A 15,448-nucleotide genomic window follows, 5' to 3' on the forward strand; every position below is an offset into this window, starting at 1 on the left:
CTCTCTAACTCCTGACCTCGTGATCTGCCTGCCTTGGCCTCCCAAAGTGCTGGGATTACAGGCGTGAGCCACCATGCCCGGCCAACAAAATATATTTTAAAAACTCTTCTGAAAGTCTCCAAACTTATCCCTACATTACCAGTTTATGTTTGTTTGTTTATTTGTAAATGCAGATAAATAGTGAGTGTTCATTCATAAGTGGCTAGTTGCATTATTGATGCCATTGCAGACAGCAAACCTCCCAATCAAGAAATTATCTCCTACCCCTTTGAAATAATAGAGACTCAAACATCTGTCCTCAAATCTCACCCAAAAAGTGAACAGAAAATGCATATAGATAAGTAAAAAGAGAAACAGTCCAGGCACAGTGGCTTATGCCTGTAATCCCAGTGCTTTGGGAGGCCAAGGCAAGAGGATTGTTTGAGGACAGGAGTTTGAGACCAGTCTGGGCAACATAGCCAGACCCCATCTCTGCAAAAATAAAAATAAACTAAAAAGAGAAACATAAGTCTCCCACACATGACATTTATATGTCAGCATTCCAATCTTCTTAGTGAAATATAGATAAAAAGGTATCTCTGTATATATATACAGTTTATTTTTAGTGATATATATATATCTCTTATGATGAACACTATATGTAGTATTCATCATAAGAAATTATTTACCTGGTATATTAGTTTCCTGTGGCTGCTGTATATAACTTTATACAAGTAAGAGTAGTACACAGAAAAGTGCATGTTACAACATTTATTTTATATATATACTTATCTTTATATATATGTGTATGTAATAAAATTAACCCAGTGATATTTCACTTAAGATTAAATTACTCTTACACCTTTTTGCAGAATACCAGCACAGAATGAATATCCCCTCCAGAATAGAGTGTGGAGAATCGAGCACATCCGCTGCTGTTGTTTAGGGGATACTGTGTTCCTCACACTAGATCTGCCATTTTTACTGAATATAATTTATAATTCAGTTGTCGGTTTCTAAATTAAGTTGTTGAAAATGTTATGAACAGAGGAGGAAGACAGAAGTAGTTTTTTTGTTTATTTTGAATACAGTACCTGGACAGATACCTCCATCTGCACAGATGAAAACTCATCCCTCGTGATTACAGCATATGCATTGCTTGTCATTTAAAGTTGTTTTAATGTCTTGATGGTTAATATTCTGTGATAGCATTATTTTTAAGTTCAAATTTTAGACCCTAGTTTCAGTTTGTGGTGGAGTAATGATTGGTTCAGTGCCAGAGTTAAATACCTTTATTTGCGTACTTACGGTTACCACCTGTGTACTTGAAATCATAAGCAGCTCATATGCTAGGCACCAGCAGGGCACTGAACACACAACCCACTTTACTTCCTCCATATTATTATGGTCTTCCTTGGTCCCAAGTCCTTTAAACACCTTGTTTCTACAGTACAATGTTTATATTCATACGGCAGGAATTCAAAGCCTTCTTGGTACGTGTTTTCTCAAATCCTTTGTACAGTTTAGTCTACTGATTATTTTGCCATATTTCCTGTGTATTTAACCAACCCTAGGGTAGAAGCTTTGTTTCATAAAGTTGGTGCTTGTATTCTTCTATATCTTTGCTCACTTGTTTCTTCTGTCTCGCCTTTTCAAAATCATTATTACCTTCAAGTCTGAATTGAAACTCATTTTAACAAACACTTATATTGCAGCTACTATTGGTTGAGTACTTTTCTAAGGACTTTACAGATATTAACTAAGTTATGCCTCATCATAGTCCGATGAGGTGGGCACTGTTTTGTTAACATTACCATTTTTCAAATGAGGACAGTGAGACCAGGGAGGTAGATTCTTTGCCGAAAGTCATGCAGCTAGTGGTTGGTAGAGCCGGGTGGAATCCAGGCAGTGTGCTTTCATAATCCAAACCTCTCCTCTCTGCTTGGTCCTTCCCTTGTGTTTTGATCCAGAATAAGTAATAAGTTTTTTTTTTTTTCCCATTCCCTTACTGTAGTTCTCCCAGATAATTTTCATTCTAGCACTTTTATTGTGTTTTCATTATGGCTCATGATCACACTTTTAATACAAGATGAAAAGACTTAAATAGTCATGCACCACAAAATGACATTTTTGGTCAAGGACGGACAGAACATGTAACAGTGGTCTCATAAGATTATGAAAGAACTGAAAAGTCCCCGTTGCCTAGTGACGATGATGATCTTGATGATCTTGACCCTATGTAGTCCTAGGCTATAGGCTAATGTGCGTTTGTATCTTAATTGCATACGAAAACAGCTTAAAAAATAATTTTAAAAGTTAACAGAAGAGTACTGATAGGATAAAGATATAAAGAAAATATTTTCGTACAGATTCACAGTGTTTGTGTTTTAAGCCAAGTGTTGCTAGAAAAGAGTCAAAAAGTTTAAAAAAAAAAGTTAAAAGTTGACAAATTTTAAAAAATTACAGTAAACTAAGGGTAATTTTTGAAGAAAGGAAAATATTTTTAAAATAAATTTAGTGTAGTCCAAGTTTATAATGTTTATAAAGTCTACAGTAGTGTCCTAGGCCTTCACATTCACTTGTCACTCACTCAGTCACTCACCCAGAACAACTTCCAGTCTTCCAAGTTCCACTCATGGTAAGTGCCCTATCTAGGTTTACCATTCTCCATCTTTTATATTGTCATGTCTCCATCTTTTATTGTGTCTCCACTGTACCTTTTCTGTGTTTAGATATGTGTAGATACACAAACACCTATCATTGTGTTATAGTCACATACGGTATTCAGTACAATAACATGCTGAACAAGTCTGTAGCCAAGGAACAGTAGGCTGTATCATATAGCCTAGGCGTGTAGTAGGCTACGCCACCTAGGTTTATGTAAGTACACTCTGTGATGTTTGTACAATGACAAAAACACCTAAGGAGCTGTTCCTTAGAAGGTATCCTCATAGCTAAGCGACTGTATTTATTTACTCCTTTTTTTCATGAAATCACATGCGGTAACTAATGATAGGTGGTAACTAATGCCCAACTAATATAGTCCACAGAATAAAACTAAGGTAAATATAAATTGATGAGCAAATTAGGGTAGAAAATTACAAAAACCCAAGGGTAAGGTCAGTACACAAAAACGTACGTATTACAACATTCCGTAGTGTTGGCAGAATTGGTCTTGAAATTATACTTTGAGTTGCCTTGTGGCTAAAGATGAGGGAAATATGGCTACAGAATTCAGTGTCTAAATGTCCAAAACCAGTCACAATACATACAAAAGAAAAACATACTTGTTGGAGCCTATGAATTTCTACTTAAGACTTGTGAGAAAAATCTCCAATGAATAGCCATAAATTGGCCTTCATATGATGTGATAATATCTTCAATGGCATTCTTGTTTGCCATATTCAGTTCCTTAGTAAGTCATTTTTCTTTTGCCTTTAAAATCAACCTGAAGTCATTTTTTCTTTAATCATCTCTGCCATCCTTCCCAGTCTAATCCACACTACTCTTCCATTTTCAGTCACAATGATTTTTTCAAATTAAATGTGATCTTATATCTTCCATACTTAAAATCCTTCAGTGGCTCCTTTCCAGTTAGAAGGGAATCCACACTTCCTCATATGCACTTACATAATCCAGCACTTGGCACTCTCCTCCCCTATCTGACTCTATCTTATTCCACTTTTCCATTGTCTTAACTCCAGCGTTACTGGTCTCCTTTCTGTTGCTCCTTAAATAGACGAAGCTCATTTCTTTCCCAGATCCTTCACATTTATTCTCCTTCTCGTTGAAGGCTTTGTCTCCAGGTGTCTGGCCGCCTCCCTCTCAGCATCGCATCCTCAGCATACACGGTCAGAGAAGCCCTTGCCGAGCACGCAGTGTGAAGGGTCCTTCCTCTCAGCCAGAAGCTGGCTCAGAACCCCCTGTCCTGGTGGAGTAGTATCATTGGTCAAGCCAATTTACCTTATTTATTCACGTTGTCATTGGTTATTCCTTATGGGTAATGCAAATCCATAAAGACCCATGTGTCCCTCGTACCTTGCATATAGTAATTGCTCAGTAAACAATAATGTGAATAAAGTGCTGTAGCACATTCTTTAGCCTCTTTCTGATCAAGTGTTGACCACTGGAAATATTCTTTTGCTAATGCTGATCTTATTTGCCACAGGACTGGGTATGTGAAGGTACTGGTTTTGTCTGACTCAACAGTTGTGAGCCGTCCAGGATGCTGCCTTCTGTTCCTCTCCTAACACTCGGTGGCTTCTGTGCTGCTTTTCCATTGACCTTTGCTCTGGCTCTTCTGGCCCTTTCTTCCACGTAGGAGCAGTCCTACCTTCCCACATTTGATACCAGAAGCAGCAAGAAGAAACATGAACAAAAGAGATTATGCCCTCTTTTTAAGTATTAAGTGCGTGTTCCCAGATATTGGTGCTTAATGTAGTGGTTTTGTTTTAAGTGAGAACATTAGGCTAACCCAGTCACCCAGGGTCATTTATCAGTTTTCATCGAATCAGGGAAATTTTCAGCTACTGTTTCTTCCGATATTTTACTTGCCCCTTTCCCTGTTTCCACACTATGGGAACTGTCAGCTTAAGATAATCCTTTATAGTTTCTTTTGAGCATTAGATCATATGTTACTGATTTTCATGATGTCACATCTTTGTGACGCTGGTATTTTACCAGATGCTGTGATAAACAATAAACATTATCTGAAAATAAGTGTGGATCAGGAAATGAGAGTGACAGTGTCCCATCTGATCCCATGGTTTGAGAAGTTACGTAGCACCCAATATGCATAATTGCTGTTATTTAATAATGAAATAAAATATTTCCTTTCAATTATGATACATCTTATAAAATAATGTGTATTATTTTTCAAACAGCTGCAATGTTGTTGAGAAATAAATATGTAAGTTGTTTGGTACTCACAATTTAATTACCAAATTTGTTCCTTATTGGTTTGGCCTGGGGCAAATATCATGAAAAAATTACTGAAACACTAAGGACATTGTGAACTGAGAAATTTGGGGAAGCGTCTTTATGATATTGTCCTACAGGCTGAGTCTCTGCTCATTTTTCATTATTTTTTTGTCTGTTTTCCAGACTGGTCTATGTCTTGACCTAGCCTCAAAGTTCACTGCCTCCTTCGTTTGTATTTTGAAGCCAATCCGATGATATTTTCATTTCAGATGCTTTATATTTTCAGATATAAAATTTTCATTTGATTTTTAATAGTTTTTTATTTGTCTGCTGAAATTTTATATCTTTTTGTTCATTAGCAGGATCTTTTCTTTTGTAATCACACCCAGGTTTGGCTGCTGGCTGCTCACTGCTCAAAAGCCAGACACAAGACGCAAACACAGGAGGTGAGGGTTGATGGGAAGAAAAGCAGGTTTCATAGCGTTCTAAATGTTAAAATTTACCCTAGGGTTTTTAAAGGGAAACTTGGTGTGGGAGACACGTGGGAGTGCTGCAGAGCGTAGGGGCTGCGAGTCTTGTTCCATTGGCTGTCGTGGATAATCGCCTACCCGGAGGCCTGGCTGGTGTCACCTTGACTTCAGACCAGTGGCGGTGGACTCATTGTTCGTGATTCCCGCTAAGTGGAAGGATTCCAAAGGAGCTTCTTGCCCGGTTTAAGATTAGCCTCTGGAATTTCTTAAGCAAGAACATGATTTGATAAGCATGCATTGCTGGAGGGGAGTTTCTTTAGAGGGAAGGAATGAAGAGGTGAGAGGGGAGGGAAGGAAGAAGAAGTGGGTGATTTTTGAAACTGAGATCCCTGGTTATACTTTTACACATTATAAATTTTTGAGAGTTTTGTTTAATTCCTTGTCTGCTAATTAATCTGGTTATGTTAGAGTAAATATTGTGCTTTGAAAACTCTAGAATTTGCTATATTCCTCCAAACAGTGTTGCTTTTATTTATTTTTTTAGACTGTTTAAGCAGATAGCTTGATTGAACTCTAACTGCAGACTGTATCTCTTGGTAAGCAGCTAAAATCTCAGATGAGCTTCTTCATCCTTTTCAGGGATACTTGCAGTCTGCCCTGTGCACTTGTGGTTCAGTTGTCACTAGAGAGTTGGTGAGAGTTCATACACAGAATCTGTGGCTCCCTATCTCTGGCTCTCTTCCTTCTACAGTTCCTTCCTCACTTTCCAGCAGCTGTGGTTGCTGGAAACTTTGGCCTGTGATTCTTCAAGCGCAAAGACTCAGAGCCTTCCATTGGAGTCTTGGCTGCTCAGCATGCCCCCTGCAGCCTGTCCTCATTGGAAACACCATAAGAAGTCACCTCATTCAGTTACCTTTCTTCAAGCGTCATAACCCTTTGGAATCTACCTAGTCATTACCCAGTAACTTCAAGTAATTGCTTTTTGTATTTTATCCAAAGATTAGTTTTTTGCCTAAGGTTTGATTTGGTTTAAGCTTATGTTGTTACACCAGAAGTAGAACCTTGTGTGTTTTGAGAAAACACATGTGCCAGAAATTTCATATCTGTGGCTCTTCAATGCCTCACAACAGCCATGTATAAGCGAAATATTGTTATCTCTATTTTATACATGATGAAAGTAGACTACAAATGTAGAGTTATACATCTTCAAGTGTTAGGCAGTTAGTTGTTAGTGGAGTCAGGGTTAATACCTAACTCCCTCGATTGAGTTGTTGCTCTCCTCGGTTTCCTCTGTAGTTTTATATTTGAAAAATAATACTCCCAATGTTTGCTGAATATACTAAATTTCTTATTAGCAGGCATTCTCTCTGAATATAAATGTAACGTTAAAGTCGAAGTTCTTCACATTAGAGGAGGAACTTGATTTTTTAATGTTGAAATGTTATAATAAAGCCAAAGCCAAAGTATTATAATAATATCTTCATAATTCAATCAAACACGGTACATTCAAGCCTCCCAAGAATGTAAAACTAGAAACAGTAGAGGATGAAGTAGATCAGTTGATGAAAGAAATGCCGAGATAGAGAGGAATTAACAACGAAACCTTCATTATTAAAGTTTTATTTTGGCTGGGCACCATGACTCAGACCTGAAATCCCAGCAGTTGCGGAGGCCAAGGTGGGAAGATCACTTGAGCCCATGAGTTTGTGACCAGCATGGGCTGTATAGTGAGACTTTATCTTTACAAAAAAAAAAGTTAAAAATTAAAAATCAGCCGAGTGTGGTGGCACATGCCTATAGTCACAGCTACTCAGGAGGCTGAGGTGGGAGGATCGCTTGAGCCCAGGAAGCAGACGTTGCAGTGAGCCGAGATGGTTATAAAAACAAAAAGTTCTGTTTGAATATTCAAACCTAGTAGTACATCATCAATTGTACTTAATCCAGACATGCATATTACAAAGCCCCTGCTTTGGCTGGTAGAGCAATAAACAGTTAATAGAAGAAACAGTCACATTTACTTCTGCTAAATAAAACAGCACAGATCCTTTAATGGACCCCAAGTGGTGGCAGTCTTCATTGACTGCATAATTACTCCTGAACGCCTCTGAATTAACTGCCTGCATATTAACGCCCTTGGACACATCTATAGCAGCTGAGTGGGGTTGGAGTTGACCACTTGTCAGGATGATGAGGAACTGCGTTAACTGCTGTGCCAAAGAGCTTTTAAGCTATTCCCTTGTGATTGTTAATAGCACTATTAACAATGGTTTGGGTCAGAAAACTCTGGGTGCAACTCAGTAAAACTTCATCCTAGATACAGAGAATAAAGGCGTTCTCAGATGTGGAAAACACGTCAGTTCACACTTGTGTAAGCACTTCCTGAAGGCCCCAGAAGAGAGATTCCATCAGACATTTTCATTAGTATATTTTCATTAGTATATTTCCCCTATGTTTAATTATTGAAATGTACTATTTCCAGAAGTATGGAATAACTCCAGTTTGGGTATTATACATCTTTTCTGAGCATGTAGCACCCCGTGCTATACTTTGCTGTTACTAGGACCATATGGCAAAGCAATTACTAAGTGTGTTAATCTCCAGACTAGCTTGGGCTCATAGTAGAGAGGGAATGTGCCTTTTGCCCTTTGTATTGTTGGGTCCAAGCATGGTGTTGAAATTCAGTGTGTGCTCAATAACTATTCACTGAAATAGTAAGTGGAGATCAGGTTTTTAAAAGCCTGAGAAATCCGTAACTGCTTCTATGTCAGGATTACATTTACCACCACCCCAACACCACAGATTATATATTCCATGTGGCCTTCCCATTACCCAAAAGACTAAGAGCAAAGTACTATGAATTTAGCCTTGGACTGAATACATGTTTAACCATTTAATTTGCAGGCCTATTGCCTGCTGGAATTAAAAAATTTCTTTCTTTGCCCCTGAAGGGTAGCACATAGAAAAGAAAGCTTTAGAATCAGACCTAAATTCAAGTGTCACCACCACTGCTACTTAAGGGGCACAGGAAGGCTCCTTCTCTACACTTTAGTCAGATGGGGGCAGCACTGCCAATATTACAAGTTTCCCCTGAGGAGTCAAAGCATGCCCTGTGTAATGCGGTTACTGCCTTACTTGCCACACACACAGCCCCAAACAAAAGCTGCTTCCCGTCTTCCGCTTCCCTCACCCAACTTTAATTTAAAGAATATTAAAATACTTTAATTCCTTATGCTGTCTCCATTCTGGATATTATATATTTTCTTTAAAATTTTCAAAGCCTAAAACCATAACACCATTATACAATAAAAACTATAAGCATGATTGGCTGCTAAAACTGAATTTATTCTAAAAAATAGGGTAACTCACTGGTTTTCAATATAGAGCTTTTTCAAAAAATAACTAATCAAGAACCTTACTTTCAGAGATGCTTATTCATGTACCCTCCTTTCCCCTAAATTCCACTAAATGAGTGAAAAAAAATGTTTTAAAATCTGTAAACGTACTGGAAATTATTAAATTACTAAATGTAAGACATTTCTGGAGGAGAAAAAGTGATGGGACTAAAATGACAAGAAACATCGAGAATAATGCATTATAAAAGGCTGCCAGGGAGTTAAGAGTGTTTATAAAGAAGCCCAAAAGAAACTCTGAGCTAAGAGAATAAACACGGAGAAAAGAATTAAAATGACAAGTAAACAAATATACGTAGCTGTCAAGTCCAAATATAAAGATTTGGAAGAACTAGTGAAAGTAATAAACATGTGCTCTCTGAAACAATCAATGGAAACCTGTTTCTTAAAACAATTTAAGACGTTAAAGAAGACTGACCGGTCATCTGAATTTGTAGGAATTCTCTTTTCCAGCCCATTTGCTGACCAGCTTTTGAATGATCATTTTCCTGTGCTCTGCTCTTGCCTCCCCCTGTAACTGGTGCCTACATTTTATAGTCAGTTTTGTCTACAAAGCAGCCTTTCATTATCAGTTTATATTGAAGAACCATGTTAAAATCTGGGCTTAGATTTTTTTGACTTCACATTTTTTAAATTTTGTGTTTTTATTCGTTTGTTTAAACAATGGTGTCTTCTAAATTTTATGAGACAATTGAGTTTTACTCTTTGGAAGACTAAACCAATCACCATTAGGAGCCCTGTAGTTTAAAAAAAAGCAATAATGCCTCAACCGTTTTTATTCATAGTTGGTTTCATTAAAAAAAGAATAGCAGAATATTTTAGGAAGAAGTTTTCTGAAATTCATAAATTATTTCATCTTTTGAAATATAATGCAGTACTTAAGAAATACCAAACCTGTATGTAATTCTGACGTGCACTGAAATGAAGATTTAGAATCATTAACTCTAGGCCTTGAGATAGAGAAATGCACATTTCAGGATTCAACATACATAGAAAAACTAGTGTTAAATTGGCTGCTATAAAATTACTGGGCAAATTGGCAAGATAATTATAGAATTGTCATTAAGCAAAAACTTTAGGTAACGACCAGGTAAGAGGTTTTAAATTAAGTAGCAACATCAAATTCACCAGGAGTTTTTCTAAGTTTGGATTGTCTTGAGATACAAACTAACTTGAGAGTTAGTAATTTGAAATTATAACAAAAAGTGAACACTTACAGGAAAGTTATACTTTCCTTCCTTGTAATTTCCTGGAAAGAAAAAATATATATATTTAACCTACTGTAGAACGTGTGAATCTACTTAGAAGGTGAGCCGCATGGTCTCTGGGCGACACTCCTCTCTTGGTTACTGTTCCATTCCCACTGCCCACAACAGGGCCTGCGGCACAGCAGTCACCCAGGGCAGGTTCTGTGGTGGAGATGAAGGAGTGAATGCTCTCTAGGAGGCCTTGCTCAGTGCGGAGTGCCAGGCTGCAAAGACCTTGTTTCCTGTTCCCCCTTACCCAGCCTGGTCCCCTCTGTCTTTTTACTCCTAACACCAAACCCAATTCCATACAGTTTTTTAAGAAGAAAGAAAAACAAAAACAAAAACAAAAAACAAAACCTCTCTGCCTCTTACTTTATTAAAAAAGATAATTTTTGTCTATAATCTTTAATAATCTGTGATTCTTATAAGGCAGCCTTACGGGGCAATTCTGTATCTGTTGATTATGAATTTATATCTCTATATATGTAGACTAGAAGGCAGAATGCACTTATTTTGGCAAAACTTTCTTTTATGCATACACATTTTAGGAATTTAATATTGTGTTATTTTGATAATATAAAAATAAATGTCCTTAACTCCACTGCCATTTGGAATGTTTAAAGCCTTCCATTAAAAAAAATCTTTATTTTTAGAGGCGTAAACACCAAAGTGTTACATACTGAATAGAAAAGTTACAAGATATTATCTTTAAAATTGATTAAGAATATTATAGATGCTAAAGATTATCTTCATAACTGCAAATGATGTACTTTCCTTCTATAGTGTATGAAGTTATGAGAAATTTTATTAGGAAAACTGAATAGTTAATATTAGGGCCATAAATGTTTTACCAGAGTATGGTATGATTTATATTAATGTACCAATCAATATTAAAAAGTCCTTTTTTTATTAAGGAAAGGGTAGATATAGGAAAATGGTAATATATTTCCTAACTGGATAAAATTATGGAAATTTTAAATAAAAGAACACTCCATTGGGATGTTATTTAAATTGCTTGTTTCTCTACCGGGTTTACCTGCTCAGGCCATTCTCCCATCCAGTCACCCTCTTCTCCTTCCTTCCAACTCTGTGCCTACTGGGTAGTCTGTGTATTTAATCCCAACTAGGCTTGTTACCTGGCATGAGTACCCCACATCTCAGGCAGAAAACTGGACGACTTACCATGGAAATGAGTTTCTGTGCTTTTTCTTGCTGTAAGGTCCACCGAATTCCTTCTACTGAAATCAGCCTTCAGTATTCAATTACTTTTTATTAAAGCACTTTCTGATGGTGTGTTAATGAGCAACCACACTGGAGCTGATGAAGGGGAGACAAAAAGCGGAAAATCTTTGGTTTCTTTTAAAATCACTTGCATAGGCTTTGAGAAGACAATAACAGAGGCAAATAGTGTTACAAATTGGGTAACTTCTGACAAGAACTTGTAGTTGAAATGCTAGCCAGGGATGAACAGACAAGAAATGCAACTAGGCACAGATTCTCTCAGTTACAGCTCAGCCAGCACTTTTACATGTCCCGTGCAACATAAAGCTGGAGAAATGTTCTGCGCCTGCTGTAGACATCACCAACGGGAGGAAGCTTGACACCTGGGTTGCCAACTTATTTTTTCCTAAAGTTTAAACAAGATCCACTAATAAGCTAAGACAGTTTAGGGCAAAAGGAATCCAGTGAGTATGTTTATGTACTTTGGCTCTCTCTTCCCTACCACACTTTGGTTTTTCAGAACTTGTAATAGTTTTACTCAAAACCTCTTTGAAAATCATCTGTTTCTGAAGCTAGGTCATTAGTATCACAGATTTTCCTTAAATCCTTTTTGTGATAAGAGTTGAAGTTCAGCAATGAGGAAGTCATTGTATTTACCTGAGTAAGTCTAGAGTTTAAAAGGGGAAAATCAGAGACAAACAACTATTACAGAGTGGTTATAAATAAAGGAGAAGAGACATGAAGAAAAGAGTGCCATGAAAATACAAATGACCATGCAAGTAATTCCGCAGGGAGAGAGCGGATATGAACAAACAGAAGAAATCAGATGGGATAGTGCTGGCGGGAAGTCATCCCAGTTAAGGGTGCAAAGGCTTGGAGGCAGAAGAGAAGCAGGGCGTTCGAGGCTGGGGATTAGAGTTGGGGGAACTCTGGCACTGGGGAAGCCAGAGTTTCCAGAGTCACCCCTAACTCTTACTCACTGTGTGGCCTTGGGGAGCTTGGGGTTACTTCTCTCTAAGCCATAGTTCTTTCTTCAATAAAATGGAGATAGAAAGATAAGCACACACTTCCAAATCCTACTTAATTTTTAAAATTTCCTTTTCAAGGAATCAAACTGTGCTGTGATTCCTTTTTTGATTACTCAAAATAATTCGATACTAAAAACTGAATTCCTGTAGCACAGATACTTGATCAGCCCCTCAACAGAGGACCGTAGGCAAATTACTTCTCTGTCTTAAACTTATCTATTATCAAATGGATCATTGTTTCCAGAGAGGAAGGAATTTTTTGCTGCATAGTTCCAAAAGGCAGTAGAGCTGATAGTTAGAAATGACAGAGAAAGATTTTTGTTTTTAAATGAAGGAAAAAAGTAAAAGCATGCTAAAAATCAGAATTGGAAGACAGTGGGTGATACAGGCTTCAAAATAAATAAGGAGCTCTCTGTTATCAGAGACTTCACTGGGTACAAAGAGAAGAAAAATAACTCTCTTGCACTTAAGAATGTACTTCCTTATACACTGTCTTATTTGTCAATAATTTTACCAGGAACCAGTTTGTAACTTGTTAAATTGTATCTTGTAAAGTGCCTTGGATTTCTTTTATACTCTATACAATGTAGGATAAGGAAGCAGTTGCTCAATTAGTTTTTTTTTTAATTGCATTGAAGATTGGATGAAACACAGAATAAAGAAAAGAAATAACCAATAACCTGCTTCATAAAAGGGCTACAACCTCTGGATCTAAGACTCAGCTCATCAAAAGATGGTTTGCAGACCAGCAGCAGTGCTTGAGGGCCTGTTAGAAAAGCAGAATGTAAACCCCACTCTGGCCTAAAACAAGGTCCTCAGGCGATGTGGATGCGCATGAACGCATGAGATGCGCTGCCCTAGAACCACATTTCGGGTGGTCTCTAGAGTTGCTCAGAGTGAGAGCTGCCAACATCATCTCTTCAAAAGTTTTAGTCTTCATCAGCTCTGACAGTTTCTTCCCTGTGTTGTAAGAGACTATAACTGTAGGCTGTTTCGCCTTTTCCTTTTGTCAGCCTTCTCATTTGCATAGCAACCTTAGGCAAGGAAAACACTCTTAGAATGATTAAAGTTTATTCTCAGAAAAGCTCTCTCACAGAAATGAAGCAAGATTGTCAAATGTATTAGGAATGTTATAGGAAAGATACAGTTACCCCTCAGGTGCTTATTGTATCAGGACACAGACCTCAAATGGATCTCTGGGAAGGTTTTTCTCACTGTGACCCCTGATAGAAGACTAAGGCCCTGTCACTAGATCTTGCAGGCCCCACTCTGTAGTCAGCATGGGTCCTGCTGCATCTGAGTGAACTGGAGTCAGCTGTGTTTTCCCAGGTCACCAAGTTAGCAATGCTGGAGCTCGCTTAAGCAGTCAGGGCATCTACCACTGAATTCATTGTTCTACCTGCTGTACGTGGCTGCTTCTCATAAAATTTATAGACAAAAGCCAAAAAATTTAGTATGTGTTTACAAACTCTTATCAGACCACATTGCTGTTGCTAAATGTGTAAAATGAGAACTGACATGAGTTGTACTTTCTGTCTCCTTCCCTTATCTTTCACTAAACAGCCAAAAGGAAAGTATCAGGACAGAGTAGAAGCAGAAGTCTGTGTACTAATTACCACTTACTACATGCCTGTTTTAGGCTATGCACTTTACATACCCAGGGTGTAAACATCGCAGCTATTCTGCCATAGGATTTATTAACCCCAGTTTACAGATAGGAAAACTGAGGCTTAAAGATCAAATGACAGAACTGCATTTGAGTATTAATGTGTTGGAACCCAAAGTGTATGCTTTTTCATTACATCTTAAAAGTTTGTATTAGTCTGTAAACTAAATAATTCATTTCTGAGTGACTGTTTTTTTGTTTTTGTTTTTGTTTTTGTTTTTTTGGTATTTGTTCATTCAAAGCATTCTTCCCATGGCAGCTCACTACAAAAGCCTTCCTGGATTTTTTTCATATCTGAGTTTCAAGACCAGAAACCGTGTCACCCTGCTGAAAAACCCAAAAAGAAAGAATTATTGCATTGTAGACCATCCATTAATCTGCTTTCAAAACTCTATGCAGATGTGTTGTCTTTTTGCTCTTCTGTTACACTCAGTTTGTGGTACCCTATTCCTATCAATTTGGATCTGCTTTTCTGTTTTTAAAAAAAGTGTCATTGATTATCAAGTTCTCACTAATAGATGCTTTTTCTCTTCTCATCCCCATGTTATCAATCCAGCTGTTCAGCCTTGCCCTGAATGTTATTTGTAGCACTCAGTGAAAACTTTGCGATAAGACAGGATTCTTGTGTTAGCACGTCACCTCCATCATGTTAGCACGTCACCTCCATCATGTTAGCACGTCACCTCCATCATGTTAGCACGTCACCTCCATCATGTTAGCACGTCACCTCCATCATGCCTTTCTTCCACCAGTGTCATCTAAAGCATTGTTAATGCTATTGCTGCTTAATACCACTCCTGTGGAATTTCAGCACCTAAAAAACTAATTTTCAAAATATCTTTTATAGATAAGCGTCCAGAACAACTAGATATATATCAAATGACTTGTCTAAAATTGCATAGCAGATAAAAATGCCATAGTGTGATTTCATACACGAGTGGTGCATAACCAACAATGTCAATGATCGTGGAAGAGAAGTGTGGGCTTCTTGAATATATAAATGTATGTCTTTCAATTTGATGAAAGGCATACATTTATATATTCAAGAAGCATATTGAATATTTTGTAATTCATAAAGTACCTTGGATGGCAATCATGGATATTGGATAAGGAAAACAGGAAGCATTAATTAGTTTAAATATACACTAACTAATGAAAATGTCACAAAGGAGTTAGATGCACTATAGCTACAAACTACTCTTTAATCATGTTAAAGATTTCTCTAGATATATATACTGGAGATATACAAAGATGGGTAAGACACTACAGAAATTATATCACCATTACCGTTCAGAGTGATTGAAGTTTAAATAAACTGTTGATTTTTATTGAGTCAGTAAAAATTCTAACCACTTTATGTGCACTGTCTCATGTTTCTCTCCTAATAACACAAAAGTGGGCTCTATGTTTAGCCTCATTTCATAGTTGAGGAAACTGACCTGGACAGTTCAGACCCTTGATTAGTTTGAGTGCTAATTGTCAGGTAGATGTTAAGCTAGTAAGTACA

The 15,448-nt window shown here is 37.4% G+C and overlaps 1 protein-coding gene across 15 annotated transcripts in view; it reads left to right on the forward strand.

The window, feature by feature from the left end:
- Positions 1 to 15,448, forward strand: part of KHDRBS3 (KH RNA binding domain containing, signal transduction associated 3) — a 199,061-nt gene that overhangs the window by 102,122 nt on the left and 81,491 nt on the right. The window contains exon 6 of one of the 15 annotated variants that reach the window (XM_011516799.2): positions 852 to 4,824. The exons of the other annotated variants lie outside the window; for them this stretch is intronic. Within the exon in view, the coding sequence (XP_011515101.1) occupies positions 852 to 999 (148 nt within the window). The 3' untranslated portion in view covers positions 1,000 to 4,824. Of the gene's footprint in view, positions 1 to 851; positions 4,825 to 15,448 lie in introns of those variants that run through there. 15 annotated transcript variants of the gene reach the window in all.

This window comes from Homo sapiens, chromosome 8 (assembly GCF_000001405.40).
Source record: "Homo sapiens chromosome 8, GRCh38.p14 Primary Assembly".
Classification (NCBI taxonomy): domain Eukaryota; kingdom Metazoa; phylum Chordata; class Mammalia; order Primates; family Hominidae; genus Homo; species Homo sapiens.